Source organism: Homo sapiens, chromosome 10 (assembly GCF_000001405.40).
Source record: "Homo sapiens chromosome 10, GRCh38.p14 Primary Assembly".
Classification (NCBI taxonomy): Eukaryota; Metazoa; Chordata; class Mammalia; order Primates; family Hominidae; genus Homo; species Homo sapiens.
The window spans coordinates 77,060,962-77,087,709 of NC_000010.11; the positions used below are offsets into that span (position 1 = coordinate 77,060,962).

Genomic DNA, 26,748 nt, shown 5'->3' on the forward strand with positions numbered 1-26,748 from the left:
ACTCTAACTCCACTGAAACTCAGTTTCCAAGTTTTGGCCTCCAGAAAAGGAAGGAAAAAAACTTGTGATATTTACAGCAACTAGGTTTGTAGTAATTTATTGCAGTAGCCATAGGAAACTAATACATAGAGTTTCATTTATCTTGGGTAGATATCTAGGAGTGGTATTTCTGAGTCATATGGTAACTCAATGTTTAACCTTTTAAGAAAAACTCCAAATATTTCAACTTAAAAACTTCTTTCCAGGAAAGAAAGTTTAAGTTAAGAAAATGAAAACACAAGCTACAGATTAGGGGCAAATATTTACAAATTGTATATCCAACGAGATCCAAAATATATAAAGAATTCTTAAACAGTAAAAAACAAATTCAAAGAAACAACTCAATTAAAATGGACCCAGCACTTCACCAAAAAGCATATACAGATGACAAATAACCACTGGGAAGGTGTTCAACATCAGTAGGGAAATACACGTGAAAACCACAATGAGATACCACACTGCCCACCTACTAGACTGTTTAAAATAAAAAGTATTGACAATGCCAAGTGATGATAAGGATGCGGAGCTACAGAAACTCCTGCATTGCTTGCTGATGGGAATGATAAATGGTACAGTCCTTCTGGAAAACACTTTGGCAGTTTCTTTTAAAGTTAAATATAAACTTACCCTATAATCCAGCAATCCTAATTCGAGATACTTACCCTAGAGAAATTAAAACTTATATCCACACAAACTTCCATGTAAATGTTTATATCGACTGTATTCATGATCGCCCCAACTGGAGGAAAACTAAATGGTGTCCAATGGATGAATGGATAAACAAACTGGTACCTGCATATAAGATGTCATACTATTCATCAACAGAAAGGATGGAATACTGATACATGCAACAACCTGGATGGATGTCAAGGGAACTATGCTAAATGAAAAAAGCCAATCTCAAAAGGTTACATGCTCCATGATGCCTTTACATGACAGACTTGAAAAGACAAAACTGTAATGACAGAGAATAGATCAGTGGTTGCCAGGGCCTAGGAGTGACAGGAGGGTGTGACTGTACAGCATGAGGGAATTTGGGGGTATGGAAACTATCCTGTATCCTGATTGTGGTGGTGGTTGCATGACTACACATACACAAAATCAACTTTACTGTATGTTAATTTAAAAAATAAAATGAAAAACACTTCTGGAAAACTATAATCATTTCCAAATCTTACTGGAATCATGTACCTTCAGCATTTTCCTATAATGCAAATGGATTACTCTGCTAATAACCTTGAGGACTTATCAATCCAAAGCCCCAACACCTCCACTCGAATTGCTTGAGTTACTTGAATATTTTTGTTATGATCAGAAGGTGTCTGTAAACATTAGGATTAACTATATTTTTTTCTCCAAGATACTTTTCTTTCTTCATCTTATTAGCACTACCTAACCCGTCCGGATCTCACTCCCCTTTACAGACACATTTCACACATGGGAAGTCTATCATACTGCACTGTAACCTACTGCTTCCTTCTTTCAAATGGTTGAGACTAAACTTTATAGCTTTCTTACATGTCCCTCAACAAACCAGTCATCATCTCCCTTCTGTACTCAGTTGCGTCCCTTGGCTTGAGCAATACATCCTCCCACTACAAGGCATTATGGTCTAGACAAGACAGCACTTGCCTGGGTCTTTTCCAGACTAAGCTACCACCAAGGGAATGGGGCAGACATATGTATCTCCTACCTTGGAAAAGAGCTTAATTTTTATAGTTTTTCATGGTTGAGGGGAAACCTAGGATAAGCTCATTTTACAAATGTTGCAAAGTGGTTTCTATTCTTAGAAGCTATTGATTTGAATATAAAACAAAGCAGTGTTTACATTCAAGACATTTCTCTTGGAGAAGCAATGTGTAACAGTGGGGAAAGCGCTGAGCTGAGAAGCCAATGATGTTGTAGCGTTCTGGCCCTAGCTCTACCATTCCCCAACCAGCCATGCAACCAGAAGTCATCTTCCGATTTCCTCCTCCCAAAGAGCTATGGTGATGGGTCCTGTGGCTTACTATTCTACAACTGAAGAAAGGTCAGAGACATTAGGTTCTTTGCATTTGGCATGTTTTCCATATGTATCTGGTTTCCTTGTGTATCTGGTCAAATAAAGAATTTAAGTGAAAATGTATATCTCAGCCAGGCACGGTGGCTCATGCTGTAATCCCAGCACTTTGGGAGGCTGAGGTGGGCACATCACTTGAGGTCAGGAGTTTGAGACCAGCCTGGGCAACATGGTGAAACCCCGTCTCTACTAAAAATACAAAAATTAGCCGGGTGTGGTGGCTCGTGCCTGCAGTCCCAGCTACTTGGGAGACTGAGGCAGCAGAATCACTTGAACCTGGGGGCTGCAGCGGCTGGGTTGCTGGGGGAGAGGTGGGCGGAGGTTGCAGTGAGCCGAGACTGCACCACCGCACTCCAGCCTGGGTGAGACAGCGAAATCTCCGTCTCAAAAAAAAAAGGTATATCACGTAAACTGAAAAGTGCTGTGCAAACGTAAAGTATTACTATAATTCCAAAGTTCTTAACAGAATACCCACGGTATCAAATCAATGGTGCTTCCTTGTTTTGCACCCCTAGATGTGTAGAATAGTTGCCTCAAAGTTCCAAATTCCTCATCATTGTTCTGGACACAGATTCACACTTAAAATCACCTTAGGGCAACGACAACCAATAGACTTAAGGAAATCTGATATTTTATTCCTTATGGCTTACATAGGACTTTGCGATTTTCATGTAACAATCACTAACAGTGGATGGCACTCAAAAAACCAAAGTCAAAAATTTGGAAGAGTGGGGAGGCAGAGTAGACCCAGTCTGTGGATACCCAGGTGGACTCAGGAATGCATGCAATTAATTAAAGGCCAATTATCTCTGAAAGAGCTCAGACTGATGCTTGGCCAGAGGCTTGTTCAATAAGATGGCTCTTATTTCACATCAGTGACTATATCCTGCCAGCCGAGAAGGGCCAGGGTGAGTGTCAGCTTCTACTGGATTTTCGCATTAAGTCCTGACCATTGCCGCTTCTCGGGCCCCATCCTCGCTGGGCACCGGACTCTGTGTATATGTTATGTAATCTTTCTGTGCTGCCTTTCTCTTTGTTCAGTCCATGCCAAGACCCATATAAAAGAATCCATATGTGATTACAGCTATAAAACCAAGAGGAAAATATTAGATGAAAATATAACATTTTGGGGTTTCTAAGTTTGCTTTACCTTTAATGCTAGGCAGACAGTTTACACAAATCATTTTGCTGCAAAGTAAAGAATAATGAGTTAAATGTGTTCCCTGTCACCATCAATCATGTACATTTGCTTTTGATTCACCAAACATATAAGACACATGAAATGACTTTCTAATCATGTTGGGGGAAGGAGGGAGAAGGGAAGAAGATGGGGAAAGGAGTTTCAACTTCTTTTATTTTATTCAGAAGATCCGTTGACATTTTCTGGCAATCTATCTTCTAACATGCTGTATGGGCTTCTTTTTGCTAATAATGTTTGCCTTGAGAATTTGTAAAGGTCTGAGAACGCTTTAATTCAATGTTCTAGAAATTACCAGGGCCATAGGGGAAATGAATCCCTGTTAATAGCTCATGGATTACTTCTCTCTTTATTAGAAATAGTTTTCACAGAAGTTACTCTACTTTCAGGTGGGCATTAGTGGGCTTGGTCAGACTGAGTGGCACTGCGGGAGGCAGCATCCTGCATGGAAGCCTCTGATCTAATGGGATCTAAGTAGGGTGAAAAGCGGGTACACAGTGACGTTGACCCAAATAGGATACTGGGGTTTAGCAAATTCATTTCAATTCATGGGTGTTTATTTTGATTTGTGAACTTAAACAACACACTGACTGGATTTTCTGGCAGTTGAAGAGCTTTATAACCAAATCTAACCAGCCTCTGCACAATCCTTGTCAAGGATTAAAGAGCTTTGCATTTCATGTTTCTACATTGAATCAAAGCTCTTTAATTTGGCAAGGGAATCATATACAGTAGCAAAGAAAGAAGTTTTCTGCACCAAAATCACACCAAATTACAAGTCCCCGCTGGTCCTGGTCCCACCCAGCTGTCTGTAATACAGGCTGGTCAGGCTAGGCTGAGGCCAACCGATGCATTCATTTACTCCACAAACACGTATTGAGTAGCTATTATGAGTCAGGCGCTGTTCTAGGCACTGAGGATTCAGCAAGTAGCCCCATCTTCACAGTGCTCACCTTGTCCCAGGGAAAAGAGGCAATAAACACCAAAGAGTGCCACGGGAAAAAACAAAGCCAAGAGAGTAAATAAGGATGTGGATGTATGGTGTGTGGAGGGGGAGGGGGTGCAGATTCCTAAAATGCAATTCTGTTTTTTCCACATGGAAACTTCATCCCCCAATGAAGCTGAGAAGAACAGCTGTATACTTCCTAGAGAATATGAAGTGGGACATCTACTCTCTCTAGAGACCCTCACAAGCCCCAGAGAACTTGTATGAGCTTAGTTACTTTCTTCCTGATTTTCCTGTATTTGCCAGGGAAGTTGTTGAATCATAAAGTATCCCTTTATAAGAAATATACCATATTCATAGATTGGAGAACTCAGTATTGTGGAGATGTCAATTCTCCCAAGAGAATCCAGAAACAGACCCGATCATGTAGTATCACCTGACTTATTTAAAAAAAAACAGGGGGTTCTGGGATATTTGTAATGTACTCTTTGTTAATCTAGGTCCTGGTTACATGAGCACTGAGGGTATAAGTATTTAACAGGTTGTACATTTATTACATGCACACTTTTATTATATTTCAATAAAAAATTCATTTTTAATCCCTTTTAAAAATGCAGTTCTAATGCCTTAGAGGAAAGACTCAACTGAGAAATTAATATTAAGCAAAGACAACAAGAGTTGGACAGAGGGGAGCCAAGCAGCTGCTCAGGGAAGGAATATCCAGCCAGAGGGAACAAGAAGTAAAAATCCCTAGACCAGCCCAAGGGAGTGTGGCTAACATAAGAAGCAGGAGAACACTCAGGACTTAAGCCAATGAGGTTCCAGGGACCTGACTGCTTAGGACCTGCAGGCCATTGTAGGGACTTTATTCAGATGAGATGGGACCCCATGGAGAGACTTATGCAGAAGAGTGACAGGATCTGATTCATGCTTGAGAAGGTTGTTCTGGATGCTTTGTTGAAGATAGATTGGAGGTGGGGTGGTAAGGGCAGAGCAGACAGACCAGTTAGGAGGCTGGTGTAATATTCTAGGAGAGACATGATGGTGGTTTGGAGCTAGTAGTAGGAGTGCAGGTGGTGAGAAGTGCTCCGATTCTGGGAATATTTTGAAACTTGAACCAAGAGGATTTCCTGCTGTATTGAATGTGGTGTTTGAGGGCAAATAAATAAATTTTTAAAAATGAGTCAAGGGTGACTCCAGAGTTTTTAGTTTCAGCCATGGGAAGGATGGCATTGCCAATAGTAAAATGAGCAAAGAACAGGTTTGTGGACAAAGAAAAGGAATTCGATTGTGGAATGGTAAGTCTGAGAGGAGATGGGGTATTCAAATGTAGGTGTTGAGCAGCAGTTGAATCGGTGACGCCGGGTTCAGGGGAGAGGTTCTTCATGGAAATATAAATATGGAAGTCATCTATGTATCTAAAAGCAATGAGAATAATTGAGATTATCAAGGAAGTGAGTATAATTGTATTGGGAGCTGCTCTCCACTGGTGAGGAATATGTGCAGAAGTCTGCTGTCATAATGCCATCTGTGGTTAGGGTGACATTGTCCATGGGTAATAGAGTAAGCAACATCTTGCATCTCCCTATCTAATTTCCACCATGTGGGTTTACTTTGCCAGACAAACTCTCTACTCTGGTACCACTAGTTGTTCTTTCCTAAGTAGAGAGCCACCTCAATCCCAGCCTTATCAGTTGCAGCCCTGGCCCCATTTCAGAGCTCTTGTCAACTCCAACCCTGCCACGCAAGGTTGAGTTCTGCTTCTGGTATGCCTCCTTCAACCTGGTTAGCAGAGCTTACACCCACCAGACAATAAGAATTGCTTGCTGTGATGATTAATGTTAACTTGACTGGGTCACAGTGTACCCAGATATTTGGCTAAACATTATTCTGGGTGTGTCTTTGAGGGTGGAGGGTGTTTCTGCATGAGATTAACATTTGAATTTGTGGAGTGAGTAAAGCAGATTGCTCCCCCAACAACCCTCAACCCAACCCATGTGGGTGGGCTTCATCTAACCCACTGAAGGCCTGAATAGAATAAAAAGGAGGAGTAAGGGAGAATTTCCTCCCTCTGCCTGATGGTCAGTCTTAAGCTGGGACATCAGTCTCCTCCTGCCTTCAGATCTAGACTTATACCATTGACTTTGCTGGTTCTCAGATTTTCAGACTCAGACAGAGACTATACCATCTTCTTTCCTGGGTCTCCAGTTTATAGAGCTTGGGATTTCCCAGCCACTATAACCCTGTGGGCCAATTCTTTATAATCAACATCTCTCTCTCTCTCTCTCACGCATGTGTGTGCACACACACACACAGAGACACCATTGCTCTGTTTCTGTAGAGAACCCTAATATACTTACTTTGTCCCAGAAGCACCTACCTAAGTCATCCCCAGCCCTTCAGCTCCACTTGGTTTAGACTCCAATTAGTTTCACCTCCTCAAAACAGCAGTGTGTGTCAATCCCTTCTTGGGAGCCTAGTTCATTCCTTACCCTGACTCAGCCCAGCCTAGGGTAACTGTTATGATGCAGTGGCCTCTGCTTTTGCAGAGCTGGGCAGACAGAAAGGTAAAGAAGATGCACAGAATGGAGCTATGCAAACATGTGCCCATACATCCAAGTCAGAACAGAAGCTTTCTGAAGCTTACCAGAGCTTCCTAGACCTAAGGATGCTGATGGGATTAGCGCACTGTCTGGAACATGGTAGGTCCCCAGGGCATCTCTATTGCATCAATAGTTCACATAGAATGAACTATAGAAAGCTAAGATTTGTGCTAAGATGATGGCACTAGCTAAAGTTTTCCCTTATCGTTTCTCACATTTCCTTTCAGTATACTCAAGGGCAAACCTGGAACCAGTTTGCTTGGGTTTGAACACCTGAGTTTGTGAATTCCAAATCACACATCCGCATGCAGGTTGTTGAAATTCTCTTAACCCATAGTGCCTGCCACTGTAAAAGGAGGATAATAATAGTGACAAGTTTGGGTATGGTCATTGTGAGAATTAAATGTGATATTGCAGCTAAAGCACTTAATACGGGATTTAGCACATGGGAATCAGTATTTTTTAGCTATTATTAAAAGTCCTTGATTTACATTTTTAGCTGCTAAACCAGACTAATTCTATACATACATATGTACAAGCACACATATACACATAAACATAACCCAGACTAAAAATATTTAAATGATTCCCTTGGCTATGGTTAGTGCTAGGACAAAAACTTTGTGTGTCCAGCCATATCCACTTCAGCCAAGATACAATCTGAATAGCATGCTTCTGATTTCTCTAGTGCATTCTCATTCAGAAACAGAAAACATGACAGAGAAGCGTGTATTGTTATCGATATTAAGTAACATTTCACCCGCAAATTCCAAATCTTGCGGCATAGGGAAAAAAAAACAACACTAGAAATACATAACATATTTTCTTCATTCTCAAAACTGATTTATTCAACAAAGAAATAATCATGGAGAGCATACTGTGTTCCAGGTTTTGTGTGTGTGTGTGTGTGTGTGTGTGTGTGTGTGTATAAAATGATAGATTAACAGACTTCAAATAGTTGGCAATTCTGAGAACTATTTAAATGTGCTACATTGGAAGTCCCAATGTACATTGAAAAACAATTTTAAGAGTTAATCACCCTCTAAACACACACACACACACACACACACACACACACACACACACACACACACAATTTGTCATGTGCAAAGACAGCTAATCCTAGTAAGAATGATAGCACAATTCATGAAGATGGCAGGCCATGCCCCAACTTGAAACCTCATACGCTGAAGAGAAGCTAAGTATGCATAGTAAGACTCAAAAACAAAAACAAAAACAAATCAATGGATCTTAAATTACATCCAAGTGAGGAAGCCAAGTAGAGAGTAAGTGTGGCCACTTATTCAGGGCTGAGGCAATAGCAGATAGGCTAAGTAAGTTCATTGCCTGGGTCTTTACAGAAGACAGCAGGGAGAGTCTCACTAGAACCTGACAGGCTAGGAGTAGGAGATCAGACAGTGGCAAATGAACAGCATGTTCCAGGGCTGGCTGATGATGTGAATGCAGATAAGTCACAGGCACCAGGATGTTCGTGCGAACTCCTTAAAGGAACTCAAGGGTTCAAATAAGATCCTATTGCACAAAATGCTTAACCTGTCCTTAACAGCAGCTGCTGAGCTGGAGGATCCCTGGATTGCCAGCTTGAGTCTCTTTCCTAAAGGTATTAGATATAAAATTAGCATAAGATTTGTTAAATCCTAGCACTGCAGAAGCTGTAGAGGGCATGCCTTGAAGTTTAAATGGAGTAAATTAAGGACAAATAGCCAGAAAAAAAATATTTAGCAGTAGTTAGCAAAGTTAAGAAATTCATTACCCCCAAAGATATGGGGGTATATAAAATATAAAAAAGATTCCTAAAAAGTTTAGATCAATTCAGAGATATATCCACATAGGAGTGAGGTTTTCAGGGACAAAGACTTAGGGTCCTAAGGTTGGTATCTTTGAGAGTGGCATTGATGGAGAGATAAAGAAGCATTGCTCCATATTTCTTGGTACCTCCAGGCTGGGCCTCTTTTGTAATTCCTGTATGCCAGTAGTCCCTCTTTCTTTTTCTTTCTTTTTTGGAGACGGGGTCTTCTTTCTCTGTTGCCCAGGCTGGAGTGCAATGGCATGATCTTGGCTCACTGCGACCTCCGCCTCCTGGGTTCAAGCAATTCCCCGGCTTCAGCTTCTTGAGTAGCTGGGACTACAGGCATGCGCCACCAGGCCCAGCTAATTTTTGTATTTTTAGTAGAAAAGGGATTTCACCATGTTGGCCAGGCTGGTCTCGAACTCCTGACCTCAGGTGATCCACCTGCCTTGGCCTCCCAAAGTGCTTATATTACAGGTGTGGGCCAACACACCTGGCCAGTAATCCCTCTTTCTTTTATTAAACATATCACCCCCACTTTCAGTCTTGGCATTTTGGTCTCATGCATGATAAAATGCCCAGTGGAAGTGGCTCACACCTATATAATCCCAGCACTTTGGGAGGCTGAGGCAGGAGGATTGCTTGAACCCAGGAGTTTGAGACCAACCTAGACAACACAGGGAGACTGGTCTCTACAAAAAATTAAAATAAAATTAAAAAGCCCAGTGGATAGTCACTGTGCTTCTGCCTGTGCCACATCTTTGCTGTTACAGTCTTGTTTCTCTTATTTTAACAGGGGTTCTGCCGCACCAAAAAACAGACACGACCGGCCTAGGGGAAGGGAGAGGGTGAGCTAACACTTTACCTTGGCTTCCAGAAATGCTAATTGTTCCCAAAGGATCAAGTGCTGCCAAAGCCTCACCCCTTCTTTGTCCATCCTAATAGGCCTGCTTGTCCCCATGGAAATATTGATGAATTCTCCGTCATAGGATACGGAGGTCATTGGAGAAGGAAGCAATTTCTGTAAACAATAATCCATTTGTAGGTTTACTTTTCCACCTACCCCCCACCCCCAACAAAAGTAAGTGAGGGCTTTGTGATCCCTGGAATGGGAGATAATACATAAAACATGCCAAGGAGGGTGCCATTATGGTGTTCACCATGACCTAAAGGAGACGAAGATCTGGGATTTGGAGGTAAGTACACAAAGATAGCAATGTAGAATGGGGAGCATGTGAATAAGGCATCTCTATTTTAGCTGAGAAAAATATATGAGGGGAAGGCTTGTGATTTCCAGGTCATGTACCTTAGCCAATTCCAACACAAAGACCATCTCAGTGTCAAAAGGTCATATTCAGAGAGCTACTTCCAAACAGGCGGGAATTGGCCTTATACAGAAATAATGTGGTAACATAACCCCCAGAGGAAAATGTGTTTTCAGTTACACCAGGGCCAGGCCCAGCCTTTCCCACAAGCTCTTCCTAAATAGGAACTTGGCAATGGGATTAGCTGAGCTGGAGCGGACATCCTTGGCTTTAGAGGTGAGGCCCATCAGGGTCTGGAGGAAGGTTGGGCAGAGGTTTTCCCTGCTGCTAATAGCACTGAAGAATCAGCATCACATCCATTTTATTAATTTCCTTGACAGACAGCTCTAGTTACCATGCAGGCACCACAAAATCAAAACATACGCATGTCAAGGGGCCCCATCTGTGGTGGGGCCCTGCCAAAGCCCATGTTACATCAACACGAGGAAGCAGAGCACAGCTCCACACACCATGTGCTTGGTCCCATGGGCCATGCCCTGGAAGAAAACCACCAGAGCTTGATTGAAAGAGCCAGAGAAGTTCTCGTGGTGACAGTCCTTTATCCTGAGTCTGGGCTTTTCATGTTGAACATAAGATCCCTGGGAGACACGTGGCTACATCTGGCTTCAGGGTCTCGTCTCTAAACACAGCTACACAGACCTCCCTGCCACCTCCATTCAGTTCCACCCATGCAGGATGAGAGCAGCCTGGATTAAAGAAGATACCTAAAGGAATGCAACATCTTTATTTGTAAGCTGGATCTGAGCTCAGAGTTCTGCTGAGCTGAGACCTTTGGCTGCATAATGAGCATAGGAGGATTTTTTAAATCAAGGTATCCCTTGCTATCAGTGTTGCTAAAGTGATTGAAGGAGCTCCAAAGCAATTTGTTCCTTTATGTGGAGCAATGTTAACTATCAGTTGGCTACATAATGCCGATTTGGCAGGTACGAAGGATAAGGACTTAGAAAAACTCCTGCTCTAAATAATATCACTCATAGGTGCCCAAGGTGAGCACCAATGCATCTGTATCCTCATGCTTCCCACCCATCCCTCTTATTGCAACCTAGGCCATTTCCTCAAAACCATCAAGGAACTTGGCAGTCAATTAGGTAGCCACATGACAGCAAAAGGCAGGAGGTCTCATACCTTTGATTGCAGAGCTTCCAGCCTCCTTTATGGACCTCGTGCTGACTCATGAACTTTCTAAGGATGTAATTTCCCACCTTGCCAGCTATTAATTCTGCTCCTTACATAGTAAGAGGCAAGATGTAAGCCCAGATCCAGAGCTAACTGCCTCCCATGCCATAACAGAAAGGCTCAAGCTAGACCCGTTTTACACACGGGTTTGTCACCTTGACTGCCTAATCTAAGAACAGTCTAAGGATGAGGACTGGAGTGACTGTTATCCCAGGCTCCAGAAGCCCCCTTGCTAGTGGCTGGGCGATCAATGCAAGGCTCTGGAAACACAATCCTAACCTGGCCCACCCTGGGAGGACAGAGTCGGTTTTTTTTCTCTCCTTGCCTGCACTGGTGCAGCAGGTATGGCCACCTTGGGGACTCTGGAGTGTCTGTCCAGCCAGCTCTGACAAGGACATGAACACATCCAGACCGCCTGTCTCTCGGTGCAAAGGGCACTGCTGCCGAGGACTCAGTACATTGTTTCGCTCTCCATTCAAACAACCGCGGCATGTCAGTCCTGCTGGCCTCCTTGATTGTGCAGAAATAAATAAATGAATTATGCTGTTGGGGTTTGGGCTTCAGCACAAACACATGGTCTGCATTTATCCACACAGTGAGAGGTCCACCAGCCACTTGATATAAAAGAGCAAAATGATAATTCTTTTCTTTAGGCGCTCTGTTGCCATATGGAATGTATATAAATCATATTTTTGTTTTAACAGCGGAGGCTTTGTTGATAGATAAACATGTGGTTTATCTAAAAAAAGAGGGGATTGTGCTTTGAACAATCATTTAATGGCCGTGGATGTGCCAAATAAAAATAAAAACATAATTTTGAAAGAAGTTGGCTTCATGCCCAAATCCGTAACAAGGAATTTCTCCTTAACCCAAGTGGTTAGAGCCCGTCGATCTGTTTTGAGTTTAAGCTGTGCTCTCTACTCAACCCCACGACAAATGGAATCCCGAGCTAATGTGCTCTAATAAGACGAGACGTTACCTTTATGAATGACCTCATGGAGAAGAGGTTGGCAAGCATGGTGGAGAGGCCTTGAGCCAGGCAGCTCTGGGCTATGAAGCCCAACTTCAACTCTGCGAGGCAGATTGCGTCATCACCTTCTTTCCAATTCCAGCTCGGGATGTTTAGCAGATGGGCCTGGGGAAAGAAAAGCAGGTATGAGACCTTGCTCTGTTAAATGTTCAATTGTTTAACATTTCTTCTGGGAAATGCAGCATTGCCCAACCACTCAGGGCCATCCAGTCTTGCCCTTCTTTTCCCTTGCTGCGGTCTGATGTTTGCTGTTTTATGCAACTCTTCTGCTCATCACACTTCAGTCTCTCTGGACTGTTGCTTCTGCACCCACCAAGCCCAAGTCCTCCCCTGGGTTTGTCATTTAGCCAAATAGAGCCCAGAGGGAATTTCCTCTTGTGACAGACCCAACAGCCTGGGTTACTAGGATGTCTAGCTAAATCATTAAGTTGAGTCCTCTAATAGACCGTAGGAGTGCCAAATGCCTGTATATTTTCAGTTTCTTTTTTACCTGCCTTTCCAATACTCCAGATCAGTGACTCCCAGGCATCAGGAGCGGGCATCAGAATCACCTGTACAGTTTCTGAAAACACAGATTGCTGGCCCCCCACCAGCATTTCTGATTCAGTAGATCTGGGGTAAGGCTGGAGAATTTGGCATTTCTCACAAGTTGGAGGTGACGCTGACGCTGTTGATCTAGGGGCCACACTTTGAGAACCACTGGCCTAAAACATCAGGTAAATCACAGTGTCGACGTTTCCAATCTCTTGCAAATGGACTGGTCCTATTCAACCCTTATGTCAGGCCCTGAGACAAGAACCCAGAGGCATGCTCATCCAATTATTTTTAAGTGGCATGAAGCAGAGAGTCATAGAAAATACATTGGATGAAAGAATCAAAGTTCAAAAGGTTCTCCAGAGTTGGAAAAATCGGCAAAAGACCAAACTAAAAAGATTTACAAGGCTTTCATGTCAAGTACAGCATTTAGGCTAAAAAAAATCAACTATATAAATTCAAAATGAGAAGACCTAGCTTGGCAGCAGGCAGGAGAGAAATAAAAGAAAACAAAACACACAAAGCTAAATTTAAGTGTGTGGGTAACTAAAACCTCAAATTTTAGGCTAGCCATGTGACATTACAGAGAAAGCCAGTGTTTACTTTTTAGAAGTGCTCCCCAGATCAAGGGAAATGAACATTTCATTCTGTTGTGAATTGGTCAGACTAGTTCCAGAGTACTTGATCCAGTTTTCAGTCAGATTTAAAGAGGGAAAATGATCAACTGAATAACTTCCAGAGAAAAGTGACAAAGACAAGAGGAGGTAGCGTCTGGAAAAGATCTTTTGAGGAACAGTTAAGACAGCCAGTAATATTTGGCCTGAAGAAGGCTCTCGTCCTCACAGAGACAGGATGGTTACATCTGAATACTTCAGGTGCTGCTGTGTACAAGATTAGGTTTGTCCTGCTTTGTTCTAGAAGCCAGAATTAAGACTGACTGGTATATATTCCAAGAAAGCAGATTTTTGTCTTGTTTTATAAATGAACTTCCTAAGGATGTAATTTGTCTACCAAACGGAGAAGGTTACCTTAAAAAATGAAAGGTCTTTGTCCCTAAGACTCAGTAAGTATTTCTCCAAGTTACTATGGAAAGAACTTTTGCTCTGCACTAGGAGGTTGAATCAGAGAGCCCTTCTAAGTCTCTGCTAGTGCCAAGATTCTATGGCTTTGAAGTTATTATTTCTCTGCACATCTCAGCAAACACAAGGAGCACCAAGGGAGCATTCCCTTCACTTTCAGAACAATATACAATAGTTGAACTAGAAGGATGGAAGACTCCATTGTGAAAACAAAGAGCAAGTCCAAGGGTTCCACACTCTGCTTTCAAAAATACTATTCTTATGAAATTCCTTCTTGCAAAATCCGCTTCTGTGACAATCTTGTGCATCCTAAGCCAAAAGTGGGTACTCCAGGGAGAGATGACAGTGCCCTCCCTGATGAGAGCATGGTTAAATAGTCTCATGGAGGGGCCACAGCAAGTGGTAATTGCTGTCAAACTATCAAAGGACCTTCCCCACACTGCAGACTCAATTCCAACAACTAGCCCTACCCTTTATTCCTTCCTCTCCCTACTCTCCAGTGGCTTCAGATGGCCACTTTCCCTTTTACTTCCTGGGCATCGTAGAGAACACATTGGTATAACTGGAGAAATACTCACTTGCAGTAATATCATCTGAGAACCTGAGAGGAATGAGGAGAAATTCAGTTTAAGTAATGAACAAGTCAAGCATTGTGTGTGAAAGGAGATTTTTTTGGTCCAAGCCCTAAAGAGACAGCTCTGAACCTTCATGGCACCTTCAAACAAACAAGCAAAACCTTTCAGAGAAAGTCTCTCCTATCCGCATGTGCTATCTAAGGTATAAGGCTGAGGCATTTCATCCTTGGGTCCCCCATGGCCCTGTCTGGTTTGAGTTCTGTAGGCATATTTTGAGCTTTCTTTCTCACTGTCCACCTTGACACTTGGCCATGTGATTATATAGAAAAGTTGAGTTTGTTCCTTATCTCAGGGTTCTGTGCCCTCTTTTTTTGGATATTATATTTTCTCCAACGCAGGGAAGGAGTGAGGGTGACCTGCTGAATGCTTGGAGGGAAATCTCTGTGCATGAAACAAAGAGAAGAGACTGACCCAGGAACATAAATCCTTTGTTTCTGGAAACTTCGTCCTTTTCCATTTGAAGTAAATTGAGTCTGATGAAAAATGCCAGTGTTAGTGCCCAGAAGTCTGGAGGCAAATCCTCTCTCCCTAACTTGGAGAATATAAAGAGCAGGTCTGGCAGACCTGGCTGCCCTTCATTTCTGCTACTTCACCACCCCTCCCTCCTCTCATGGAGAAGGAACTGGAAATACGCTGTCCTGGAAAACCAGGAGAGATGGATTTCAGTCCTAGTTCCATCTCTCACTACATACAATTTTGGGAAGCCACTATGAGGAACAAAGAAGGCCATGAAAGAGGAAACGATTTAATACAATTGCCCAAGTGTCAGGGTGGACAGTGGAAAAAAAAAGCTCAAAGAACTTGCCTCTATCTGCACTGGGCTCATGGGACTTGGCTTCCAGAGATAAAGGCCTCTTTCACTAGAGTCTTTGGGAAAAATAAAAAATCCACTGAGAGGTAAATCATCAGGAGTGATACTTTTCCAAGAAGTTATAAACCAATCTTTCCTTGAAGAGCTTTGAGCCATTTACACTCAAATCAGAAGATGCAGGGCCAGCATTTAAAAGATGGCCAGCATGAAAGCGTTTCTCTCCAAGAATTCTAGTGATATTAAAAGATACACTTTGGAGAGCATCAGCCCTTCTATAATGCCTACTCTCGGGAACCACAGTTTGGTTCAATGGGCTGTGGCTCCATTTAAAGAGTCGGTGGCAGTAAGCTCTTCTGTCTCCCCGCTCGCTGGCTGCAGAGTGGTGGCCATGATTTGTGCCCAGCAGAGCTGCGCTGTCTATACAGAGCTTAGATGCCCTGCTCTGAAGTTACCCTGGGATGCTAAAATGCACAGATGGTCCAACGAGTACTAAAGAAGATAATGGATGTCAAAGCTCTTTTAAAACCATAAAATATGACACACATGTCTACAATTATGATGATGACAAACTCAGGGCCAGTTTTACATGGAGAGAAAGTAGGCAGCTTCCCTACATCCCTCTAGGCCCTAGAATATTACTATTACTGGATCATAGGGGATTGAAATGCTTCATATTTCAAGCCCGTTGTCCAATTATGAAATCAGCTATCTCTTGGAATATGTTCATAGTGACATGACTTTACAGGCACATACCAGGTCCTTTCCTGAAAGCAAATTGTAATGCATGGAGATCTCTAAGCATCTAGGATGAGTGCAGCAAAAAGTGCCAAGAAAGGCAGAAAAAAAATGTTGAAAGGGAAGAGGAAGAAAATGTATTGAAAGAGTAGGAAACATCTCAGGAAACACAGCAAAACTGTGAAGCAAGGTGAAGAATGTCCATTTGCAATTCTACAAGGAATGAAAGACAAACAATGATGAGTGGACGTTTTCTTCTTTCTCTAGAAGAGAGATATGAAAGAACAACAACAACAAAATGCCCTGTGTCAAAGTCACTCTATTCCCTGTGTCCTGACTAATCATCCAAGGATCTGTAAGTGATTCTGCCCAACCCCAAAACTCGAATAGTTTGGGATGGTTCTAAACAAAATGTGTTTTAAGCAAATAATCATGAATTGGTTGATATCTTCCTCACTGTTTCTGAATAATTACAACACAGAGGTTTGCCAAACACATTCAGGTTGCTATGATCATGTGATTACTGACCAGGGACTGTCTGGATCCCAGGCCGGCTGAGCTGCTTTGAGTTGGACAATAACCACAGCTAAAATCCTCCTTAATTTCTTGAAGATGCTGCATCAGCACTCATTGGAAAGAGAAAAAAAAGGAACTGACAACCCCTTCTAAACATACAACATTAATTTTCCTATTCAATCTAAATTCAGCCAAAAATCTAAACAACAGCTTAAAGCACTCCCACACTAAATGAAATTTCAGATCACAAATGAAAGAAGGAGAGCTCGTTGCTGCAGGAGCTGTCACTAGTCACAGCCTTGCTAATAAAATTCACCTCCACCTACAAGGGCTGCCATCAAAAACTTCTCCAGCTTGACACCCGTACATTACCAATATCCTCACTTTATCTCTTCAGTGTCCTTGGGTTTTCCAGAGACAAACAGGCGAATGTGACCTTGGGTGCCCACCACCAAATCCGTTGGCTGGAGAACAACACGTTCTGCAAGGGAGCCACCTGCCGAGGGCTGGGCAGTGGCTGGCAGCAGTCAGCCGTTCTGGATGGTGGGCCAGTCACTGACAGCAGGCTCCACTCAGTGACAGCCTCTGATGGGCCTCCACACAGCAAAATGGGCCAGCACTTGCCAGCAATTAAGAAATAACGGCATGGCACTGGTGCATTTGGCAGAATGGGGTTTTTCTCTGCATCACCTGACTGCCTATTTCATAGGGAATATGGCCCATAAGAGGGGGTACGCTGTTACTCATAACCCAGCAGCGAGTTATTCTGTACAGACAGGACACCTGGCTCCAGGTACTGGGCAGCCTCCGGTTTCTAGGTTTCATTAAGGACATAACTGGTACTGCATCAAATGGAGAAAGGTGCCACCTTCCCTCCCCTAAAGCTGTTTTTTTGGAAGTTTATTGACTGGCTGAGAGAAGGAGCACTGCCTTTGAATGAGACACTGGACTCTGGTTTACTGAGAAGTAATCACAGGGAAACAGCATAGACTCTGACTTTTGTCTTCTTTCTAATCAATCCCCCACTGTAAGCTATAACACAAGGAAAATTCCTTTCTCTTTAATCTCTGGATAGCTTACTATTTTCCTGATTCAACTCTGCAAATTCTCATCTCGACTCTGGGAATGTGTCCCACATTACACTCTTACAGAGCGCATTATGCACTCACTAGTTCACCTGGTCTCAGATAGAGAAATCCTATCACTCACTTGCCTGGAGCATTCTACACCTTAACTGCTAAATCCCCGAGGACACAAAATAGGGCTTCTCCTTCACTGATATTCCTGTGGGTGTCAGGGAGAGTGCTAATCACACAGTATGTATTCAATAAATATTTACTGAATAAGTAAATGACTGCAGCACATACAAATAAAAGTTGTTGTAACTTAAGTATGGATGGGATCCAAGAGTAAATCAATAGTTCTGAACCTCGGGTTCCAATAGACACTTCCCGAATGAATGAATCAGTACATGAAGGAGCATCCTTCCAGTGACCAAATGCAAACACGTTGTTTGGACTAAAGAAATGGGCCAGAGGCGTGGTGGCTCATGCCTGTAATCCCAGCACTTTGGGAGGCCGAGGCGGGCAGATCACCTGAGGTTGGGAGTTCGAGACCATCCTGACCAACATGCAGAAACCCCATCTCTACTAAAAGTACAAAATCAGCCTGGCATGGTGGCGCATGCCTGTAATCCCAGCTACTCAAGAGGCAGAGGCAGGAGAATTGCTTGAACTTGGGAGGTGGAGGTTGTGGGGAGTCAAGATCATGCCATTGCACTCCAGCCTGGGCAACAAGAGCAAGACTCCATCCCAAAAAAAAAGAAAGAAAGAAAGAAATGTCCCAGGAAGATTTTTAACAATCACACCTCTTTACCCAGGTCTTTGAGTTGCGCACATGTGGGCATGTGAGAGTGTGTGTGTGTGTGTGTGTGTGTGTGTGTGTGTGAGCCTGTATAATGAGGAAGAAGAGGCTGGACCTGTGGATGGGTCTTCAGACCTGGAGCGGGCTCTCGCACTCCTACCTTGTTGTGATACTGCAGCATTTGAGTGATGATTCTTATCTTCGGATGGTAGTTCTTTATGGAGATTACTCTGAAAAAGAAAGAACCAATGCTGAGACAGGTCTGCCTTATGCATGGTGTCTGACAAAAAGATCAATTTTACTGTCTCCAAATGGGGTACCCATGGGACTGAGGTAGGAGGCAGGACTTGATTCCAGAGGCAGGGCTCAGATACCAGACAAAATTGAAGACTAGCTGAAACAGGGATGGGGCAGAAGCAACTTTTCACTGGACAAGCCCAGCAGTGTGCCCTGTCAGTTTACCATTGCCATGGCAACACCCAGGAGGTTCCCTATAACCTCTAGGCCCTAGAACATTACTATTACTAGATCATAGGGGATTGAAATGCTTCATATTTCAAGCCCGTTGTCCAATTATGAAATCAACTATCTCTTGGAATATGTTCATAGTGACATAACTTTACAGGCACATACCAGGTCCTTTCCTGAAAGCAAGTTGTAATGCATGGATGAATTCCAGTCCCAGTTCCATCTCTCACTACATACAATTTGGGGAAGCCACCATGAGGAACAAAGAAGGCCATGAAAGAGGAAACCCTTTAATATGATTGCCTAAGTGTCTGGGTGGACAGTGAGAAAGAAAGCTCAAAGAACTTGCTTCTATCTGCACTGGGCTCATGGGACTTGCCTTTCTATGGCAATGACCCGGTGACCCAGAAGTTACTACCCCTTCCCTAGAAATTTTTGCATAAGCTGCCCCTTAATCTGCATGCAATTAAAAGTAGGTATAAATACGACAGCCTGCCCAGAGCTGCTACTCTATGGTGTAGCCCCGCTGTGCAGGAGCAGTCACAGAGCTGTAATACTACTGCTTCAATAAAGCTGTTTCCTTCTGCCCTACCATCAGCTTGCCTTTGAATTCTTTTCTGGGGGAAGCTAAAAACCTTCATGGGCTAAGCCCCATTTTGGGGCTCACCTATCCTGCATCAGGACCAGCAGCCAGGGCTATCCTGAGGGGTTGCAGACACTGGGCCAGGTTAAACAGTATTCCCACCACCATATCTCTTGCTAGTGTGAAAACAAAATCACAAAACAGCCACAGTCTGTGTCCTGGGCATGAAAAATTTGAGGGCCCCTTGGAATGCATTGGAGATGGGATGTATGCATGTGCGTACTGGGGAGTAGGGGGCCTGGAGCAGGGGCTGCCAGCTTATTGCCTACGTAGACATCGAAAGCGAGCCCAAATCATGGGGCCTCCAGAGGTTTGCAATCTCCCACACCCTAGGGACTAGCCCAGAAACAATCTGCTGAGTCCAATTCTCCAAGTTAACAACTTGAGACAACAATGACAAATCAAACAAGCAGGATGACAAATGGTTCTAATTGTGACACATGCTTGGCCACTATCACAAAAAATGATTTCTAAGCAGGGCTTTTAGGATGAGATCAAGGACTCAGCCTTCCATAGCTAATAGAGAAAATGATGACTTAAACGCTGGTTAAAAATAAGTGCCAAGGCATTGCGGGGGTCATGATCTGGTGGAAAATTGTCTCCTACCTGCCCTCAGTCCAAACTCAATGTTAAGCATGGCCTGCACCCACCCCAGGCCTCACGTGTCCTCCCCACATCAATTATGGTGCTAAAGGGAGGGGCAGAGCGCAGATGAATGGAAACACGTGGGTTCCAGTCACAGCTATTGTACTAATGAACTGCGCGACCTTTAGGAAAACCCTGGGCTCTCTGTTCCTGTTTCCTCATCTGGACACTGGGAGCAACAGTACCTGCTTTATTTACTTCACAGGCTTGGTATGAGCAGCAAATGGGAGACCAGATGTGAAAATGCTTTGAAATCATTAAAAGTTCTCTCCACGTGTAAGTTATGGTTTTTGTCATTACCAAGTCTGTCAGAAGTGACATTGTACATTTCCTTCTGTGACAAGGAAGGCTAAAGAATGGAATTCCACAGAAAGGCCCACCTCCTAAGCCTAATCAGAAATGCAAGTGCATTTATTATGACCACCCCCACAAACTTCCCACCCAGCAGCGCTCCCCACTTCACCCCTTTTAGTGCAGAAATGGAGAGAAGGCAGCCAGGGAGCAGCTTTATCTGAAAAGCTGCAACGTACGAATTTAGGAAATGGATCACGCTAAAGCCTCTCCCAGCACAAATTCACCCTGCGTTTTTGCACTTGAAGGATTTCATTTTATTTTTGAAAAAGTGTTGCGTTGGCCCACGCTTATAACTCAAGGACTTTGAGCCTCTGTCAGCCCTGCCTTGCAGTTCACAGCTTCAGCCAGTTTTCTGCATTAGCTCATTTCAAATGGATCTTTGACATTTTAATTTCAAAGGAGGCAGATTGGTCTCATTAAACTGAGGAGGAAGGAGGATTATACAAATAAGAGAAAGACAAAGCCCATTTTTAACCCTGAACTTCCCACTTCTTTTTGCAGCCAAGGCCTCAGTTCTGGCTCTACTTAATTACATTTCTGATACTACCTTTGACCAGTAATTTCTTTTTTTCTTTTCTTTTTTTTTTTTTTTTTTTTTTTTTTTTTTTTTTTAAGACGGAGCCTCGCTGGCTCTGTTGCCCAGGCTGTAGTGCAGTGGCGCGATCTTGGCTCACTGCAACCTCCGCCTCCTGGGTTCAAGCGATTCCCCTGCCTCAACCTCCTGAGTAACTGGGATTACAGGCACACACCACCACACCCAGCTAAGTTTTGTATTTTTAGTAGATACGGGGTTTCACCATGTTGGTCAGGCTGGTCTTGAACTCCTGACCTCGTGATCTGCCCACCTTGGCCTCCCAAAGTTCTGGGATTACAGGTGTAAGCCACTGAGCCCCGCCCTTGACCAGTAATTTCTATGCCTCCTTGTCCTGCCAGTCACCCTAGTACCTATGTGTCTTCATATTAACCCTACCACAGTTAGGGTTTAAATAAAATACTACAATTAAGAGAAACACCCATTTCAAAACTATTACTCAGGTAGCCCCAAACATCTCTGTGGAGTCAAAACATTAAGCTTCATCTTCTTTTGGTTTTCCATTTGGAATTTTGAAGACAGTGAAGCCAGGTTCCTTAAAGGGTTACATTTTTTTTTTTAAATCATTTCCAATGACAGAAAAAGGTGTCAAAAGTTGAAAATCCTTCCTACTTCAAAGAAAGGAACAAGTGACACACCCAACCCTGATCCTGGTGTAGCCACTGTGCAGCTGTAACTGATTCGGGAATGAGCCCAGGTGTGAAGCCAGAATCTGTTCCACCCTCTCTCTGCAGCCTGGCAAGCCCAAAGCTTAGAAGAGTTCACGCATCCACTTCCTTAAAATGACCTCACTAAGCATATTGCCAAAGAAAACTGAGTGGCAAGAGAAGATGGTGCCAGATGTTGCCTGCCAGACACAAGGACCAGATGCTTAAGGGAGGACTGGCTCCTCTGAAATGCACTGGAGGAATTCCCCCACCTCACTGATGGGGAAGCTCCGGTCACTTGGGGCCACTGATGGAAAGCAAAGACAAAGGCAATGCAAACATTGTCAGGATGTAAAGGTAACTTCTTGACCTTCAACCTCAGGTAAGTTCCCAGGAGGCAGTAAACCAAGCCACCGGTAGAGGGGGAACCTTCGGCCCGAAAGATGGCTGTTCACAGTTAGGTAAAAGTTCCTGGGAATGCAGTGGGACGGAAATCCCACTGAATTTAGCTCAACTCTCCAGAAGCTTCCCTTTATCATTTCCTCTCAGCCCTCTTAACTCTTCTGCAATTTATGCTACAGAAAAGACAAATTCCAAAGGGCCTCTAACTACCTGGAGCAAAATACCTTGACTTTTTAGTCATTTCATTGTCACACAATGTGACTACTGGGTTTATGCAAGGAACAAAAACTGAACAATTGCTTTTTTTCTGAATTAAGAAAAGAATAAGGTGCTGGTGTTGGGGCCAATATTAGCAGTTGACAGGCCTAACCCTTGTGCACAAAAAGCACTGCACAGTGTTTCCCAGTATGACCTCCCCTAGATGTTCTGTAAAAAAAAAAAAAAAAAAAAAAGGGAGGGCAGGGCAGGGCAGGGCAGGGCCACAGCGGCACACTCCTGTAATCCAGAGTTTTGGGATGCCCAGGTGGGAGGATCACTTGAGGTTAGGAGTTCGTTGAGATCAGCCTGGGCAACATAGCAAGACCCTGTCCCTACTAAAAAAAAAAATCTAAAAATTGGCCATGTGTGGTGGCACATTCCTATAGCCTCGGCTACTTGGGAGGCTGAGGTGAGAGGATCGTTTGGGCTCAGGAGTTCAAGGTTATAGTGAGCTATGATTGAGTCCCTGCACTCCAGCCTGGGCGATAGTGCGAGACTCTGTCTCTATGAAAAAAAACGGGGGGGGGTTGGGGGAGGTGGGAGAGGAGCAGAGGCTTATAGTCAAATAGGTTTGGAAAGTGTTCTATAGTACGTTATCTCAGAGATGCATATTAGTATTAAAAGCACTGAAAAGCCTTTCAAGAAAGAACATTAATTTTGGGAAACTGGATGAAACAGCCTAACTGGTCACTAAATTCCCCTTTGGGGTGATAGGAATCAATATGCCGTAGACACACTTGGAAAGCCCTAGTAAGGGTTTTCTCAGCCTCGACACCATTAACATTCTGGGCCAGACAATTCTCTGTTTTGGGGGCTGACCTGTGCATTGCAGGGTCGTTCGCAGTGTCCCTGGGCTCTACCTATCAGATGCCAGCAGCACGGTCCCCTAGTTGTGACAACCAAAAACATCTCCAGACATTGCAAAATGTCCCCTGGGGGCATCTGCCTTTAGTTAAGATATCTCAGGCCCATTTCCTTTAGGGAACATGGTACTTTAATTCAGGCCAGCACCCATCTCAATCTATTTCCTAGTTCTGTCTCAAGGAATCTCAAACCCAAGGCCAGCTGTAAGCCCTAGAGCTGCCACCTGCTGAGGGTGAGCTTCCGGTTGGTGACACCCTGTGTGCCACTGCCCCAACCCACACAGACAGCCTCGGCTCCCCCAGGCCTATGCAGCTGGTGAGTTGTACAGTGGCTTGTGGGGCAAAAAGGCCTCATAGAGATAGTCCTCTGCAGAAGATCCAAAAGGGCCGTGAACAGCCACAGACTGCCAAGCCCAGGGCCTTCCGCAGCGCCCCAAGAGTTACCTCATGATATTCGAGGCATCCTCCGCATCCGGGTCAGCGCAGTACTTGTTGGCAAGGATCAGGCATGCATCTGCTGACTCTATCTAAGACACCGAAAGGAAAATTCACAGAACACAAACATATAAATAGCCATGCTCGAGTGTAGTCTCTCTCTGTTGACAGCTTCTTGGGGAAGCTTTGCAAAGAAAAAAAAAAAACAATCCTGAGAGCCTGAGAGATTATAGTTTTTGTCAAAAGTGTAGGTTCCAAGTTCTTGTTATGGTATAAACATTTCATCTTGTTGCTGTTGGAGGGTACAACATGTACCTTGGTAATTATACTTTTCATTTGGCATCGTTGCTTACTTGTAGGATTTCCAGATTTCTTTAAATAACAATTAATTAAGCCTTTCAGTCTCCTCCCCACCTCCTTTCTCAACCATCTGCACCATCATCCTAATTCTTCCTATCAGGAGTTGGAGGTGGGTGGGTTAAATCCCTTCTCTCCAGTTAGCAAGGTAACTGAGTATTGGGGATTCAGAAATGTACACTCTGAAGTCCTTCATCTGACCTTTTTCACATCTTCATTTTCTATAGGCTGGGAAGAGATCAGAGCTCTAAATCAGATAACATCACCATATTGCTTAGTATCCGATTAGTATTCAGATATTCAGAAGACAACAAATCTATGTATGAAATAATGTGTTACAGTTGAACTCAAAATATACCTACTGACTTATCCAAACACGAGCCCACAGGGGTTTATTCCTTAGAGGGGACCATGAGTTTGATGTGCTAATGATTGCTTGCATTTAAATTAGGTCCACGAACAATAACAATTGTCCCTACGTTCTCATAAGATTTTACATAAGCAATAACTTGAGTTATGTCTGGATAATATCAAGATTAACTGGACTCTATGAGCATAAGAATTCTTATGCTGGCTCAGGTCTGCAATCTGTCCTACTTGGTATGTTATACTTAATAGATCATTCCTGGATTTTGAGGGAGGCCATAATATCCTCCGTGGTATGTCACAAATCATCTCTGATTTCTTTAATAATATAAAGAAAGAATTTATCCAAATCCTTTTGGATTATTCATCTTGGCCAATTATATTATTTACAAAATTATGCGGTGACCACAGTTAGCATTTAGACTTCAGTGAATTCATTATATTAATGTACACCCCCTGGCATGCAAATATTGAACATGCTTACAAAATCTATATTACATAGGTAAAGTAGCAGATGCCATTTTGCCTTGTACCTTTCCCTTCTAAGCCTCAGGTGTGCTTTATGAGAAGATTCTAAATTACCAGTTTCTGGAAAAAAAGATTCGCCCATTATCAATGATATCAGATAACTGCATGTTTAGTTTTACACCCTGCGTCTTAGATGGGGAAAAAAGAAAGCTCAAATGTTTTATCGCTTAGTAAAATTTTATTTTATATTTTAGCCTAATGTTTCTTTCAGATGTAAATAATAGAAGTCAGAGCTATATTGAGTCCAACTTAAGTGTTCAATATAGGAATTACTTGATTATTATGTTGTATAAAGCTACTGGGTCCATATAACTGGTCTACTTCCTTGATGAGTAGCTGATTTTGAGGAATCCAGCAAAGCAAGTTTCATGTTATGACCAGTCCAAGTGTGGGATGGTTATAGGTAGTGTTGCATATGCCAGCAGAAGGAGGTCCTGGGACCAGTGGAAGGGTGACCTCAAGGTTGCTGGTATGTGATTGATCTCATTAGGTGTTTAGGAGATGACTCGTGGCCAACCTAGGAGGTGTGTCCCCTCAGCACAGAGTCAGGACTCCCCCCAGACCCACACCAAGATGGAATAAAAGCAGAAGTCACCTCTTCCTCCTTACCTTGACTCTTGCAAGATCATGTGGATTGAGGACGGAACCCTGATAAAATTCCACCTGAGTAAAATGTCGTTTGAACAGAGCTTCAAGCTCCAGGTTGGGGGAGATGCTACACAGGGAGAGAAGAAATCGCTATTAATTTAATGGACTCGGGGGTTTCAGCCTCCATGGGCTCCTTCCTCTCTAATTTCCACAGGGAGCCCTGGGGAGAGGCTGTGACCTACAGTCACCCTTTTGCTTGCCATAAATAAAAGACTCACACTCAAGAGAAGTAAAACCCCAGCCCAACTGAAAACCAAACCAGTACCATGGTAAAAGAAAGAGGTTCATGGGCTTTAGGAAGGCCAAGACCTCAGGACAAATGTCTTCTCTTCGGTATGAATGGAATTCCTATCTTATAAATATGGAAGCTGGGCTGCGCCACTAGTGGGATGGTTCATTTTATGCGGACTGTGCCAGAGGGTGCCCAGATCCAGTGTGATTTCTGGGTGTGTCTGGGAGAGTCTCTGGATGAGAATGGCATTTGAATCAGTGAATTCAGTAGACTACCCTCCTTTGTGGGAGTGGGCATCATCCAGTCCTTTGAGGGTCTGAAGAGAACAATAAAACAGAGGACAGAGGCGTTTGTCCCTTTTGCTTCTTTCCTGCCGGCTTGAACTGGGCATCTCTTGTCATTCTCCTATCCTTGGACTGGGGTTGACATTGGCTCTATGACTCTCTGGCCCTCAGACTCAAACACCACCAGCTTTCCTGGGTCTCCAGCTTGCTGGTGGCAGGCAGTGGGACTTCCCAGCCTCTGTAATCAAATGAGCCAATTCTTCCTAATAAATCTCTCTAGAGATAGATAGATAGATAGATGTATCAATATATAGATACCGATATATATCTGTATTAGATATATTGATATATATATTTCCTATTGACTCTGTTTCACTGGAGAGCCCTGACTAATACAATCAAGGATTAGCCGAAGGTTCCCCTGGGAGAGGCATCCTGCTGTTCCCTCCATCATGAACCTTATCTCTGCTTCTGTGTCTCATGGACTTCTCATCCCCCAAGGCCTGGATCAAAAAGTATCACTCTGAGGAGCCACAGACAGACTTAATTTACTCTCATTATTGTTCTTGATTCACACACATGTATGCGACTCATCACATTTCTTGGTGCTGATCTGTACTGACATCTTTCTCTTTGGAGGACAAGGATTAAACAAGTGACCTATTTA

General features: G+C 43.4%; 1 protein-coding gene across 56 annotated transcripts in view, besides 1 other annotated feature; it reads right to left on the minus strand.

The window, feature by feature from the left end:
* The window catches only part of KCNMA1 (potassium calcium-activated channel subfamily M alpha 1), a 768,207-nt gene that overhangs the window by 191,360 nt on the left and 550,099 nt on the right, over positions 1-26,748 (minus strand). For all 56 annotated transcript variants that reach the window (NM_001271518.2, XM_017016222.3, XM_024447990.2 and 53 more), the window contains 4 exons: positions 25,527-25,632; positions 23,676-23,758; positions 18,520-18,589; positions 12,136-12,291 (listed from right to left, as the gene is read on the minus strand). In NM_001271518.2, coding sequence (NP_001258447.1) covers positions 12,136-12,291; positions 18,520-18,589; positions 23,676-23,758; positions 25,527-25,632 — 415 coding nt within the window. The remainder of the gene's footprint in view (positions 1-12,135; positions 12,292-18,519; positions 18,590-23,675; positions 23,759-25,526; positions 25,633-26,748) is intronic.
* Positions 20,569-21,125: an enhancer, noted in NCBI's record as "OCT4-NANOG hESC enhancer chr10:78841288-78841844 (GRCh37/hg19 assembly coordinates)". NCBI's record gives its function as "activates a minimal SCP1, AML or CMV promoter by ChIP-STARR-seq in primed H9 embryonic stem cells {active_cell/tissue: H9 hESC(primed)}" and the evidence as "EXISTENCE:reporter gene assay evidence [ECO:0000049][PMID:30033119]".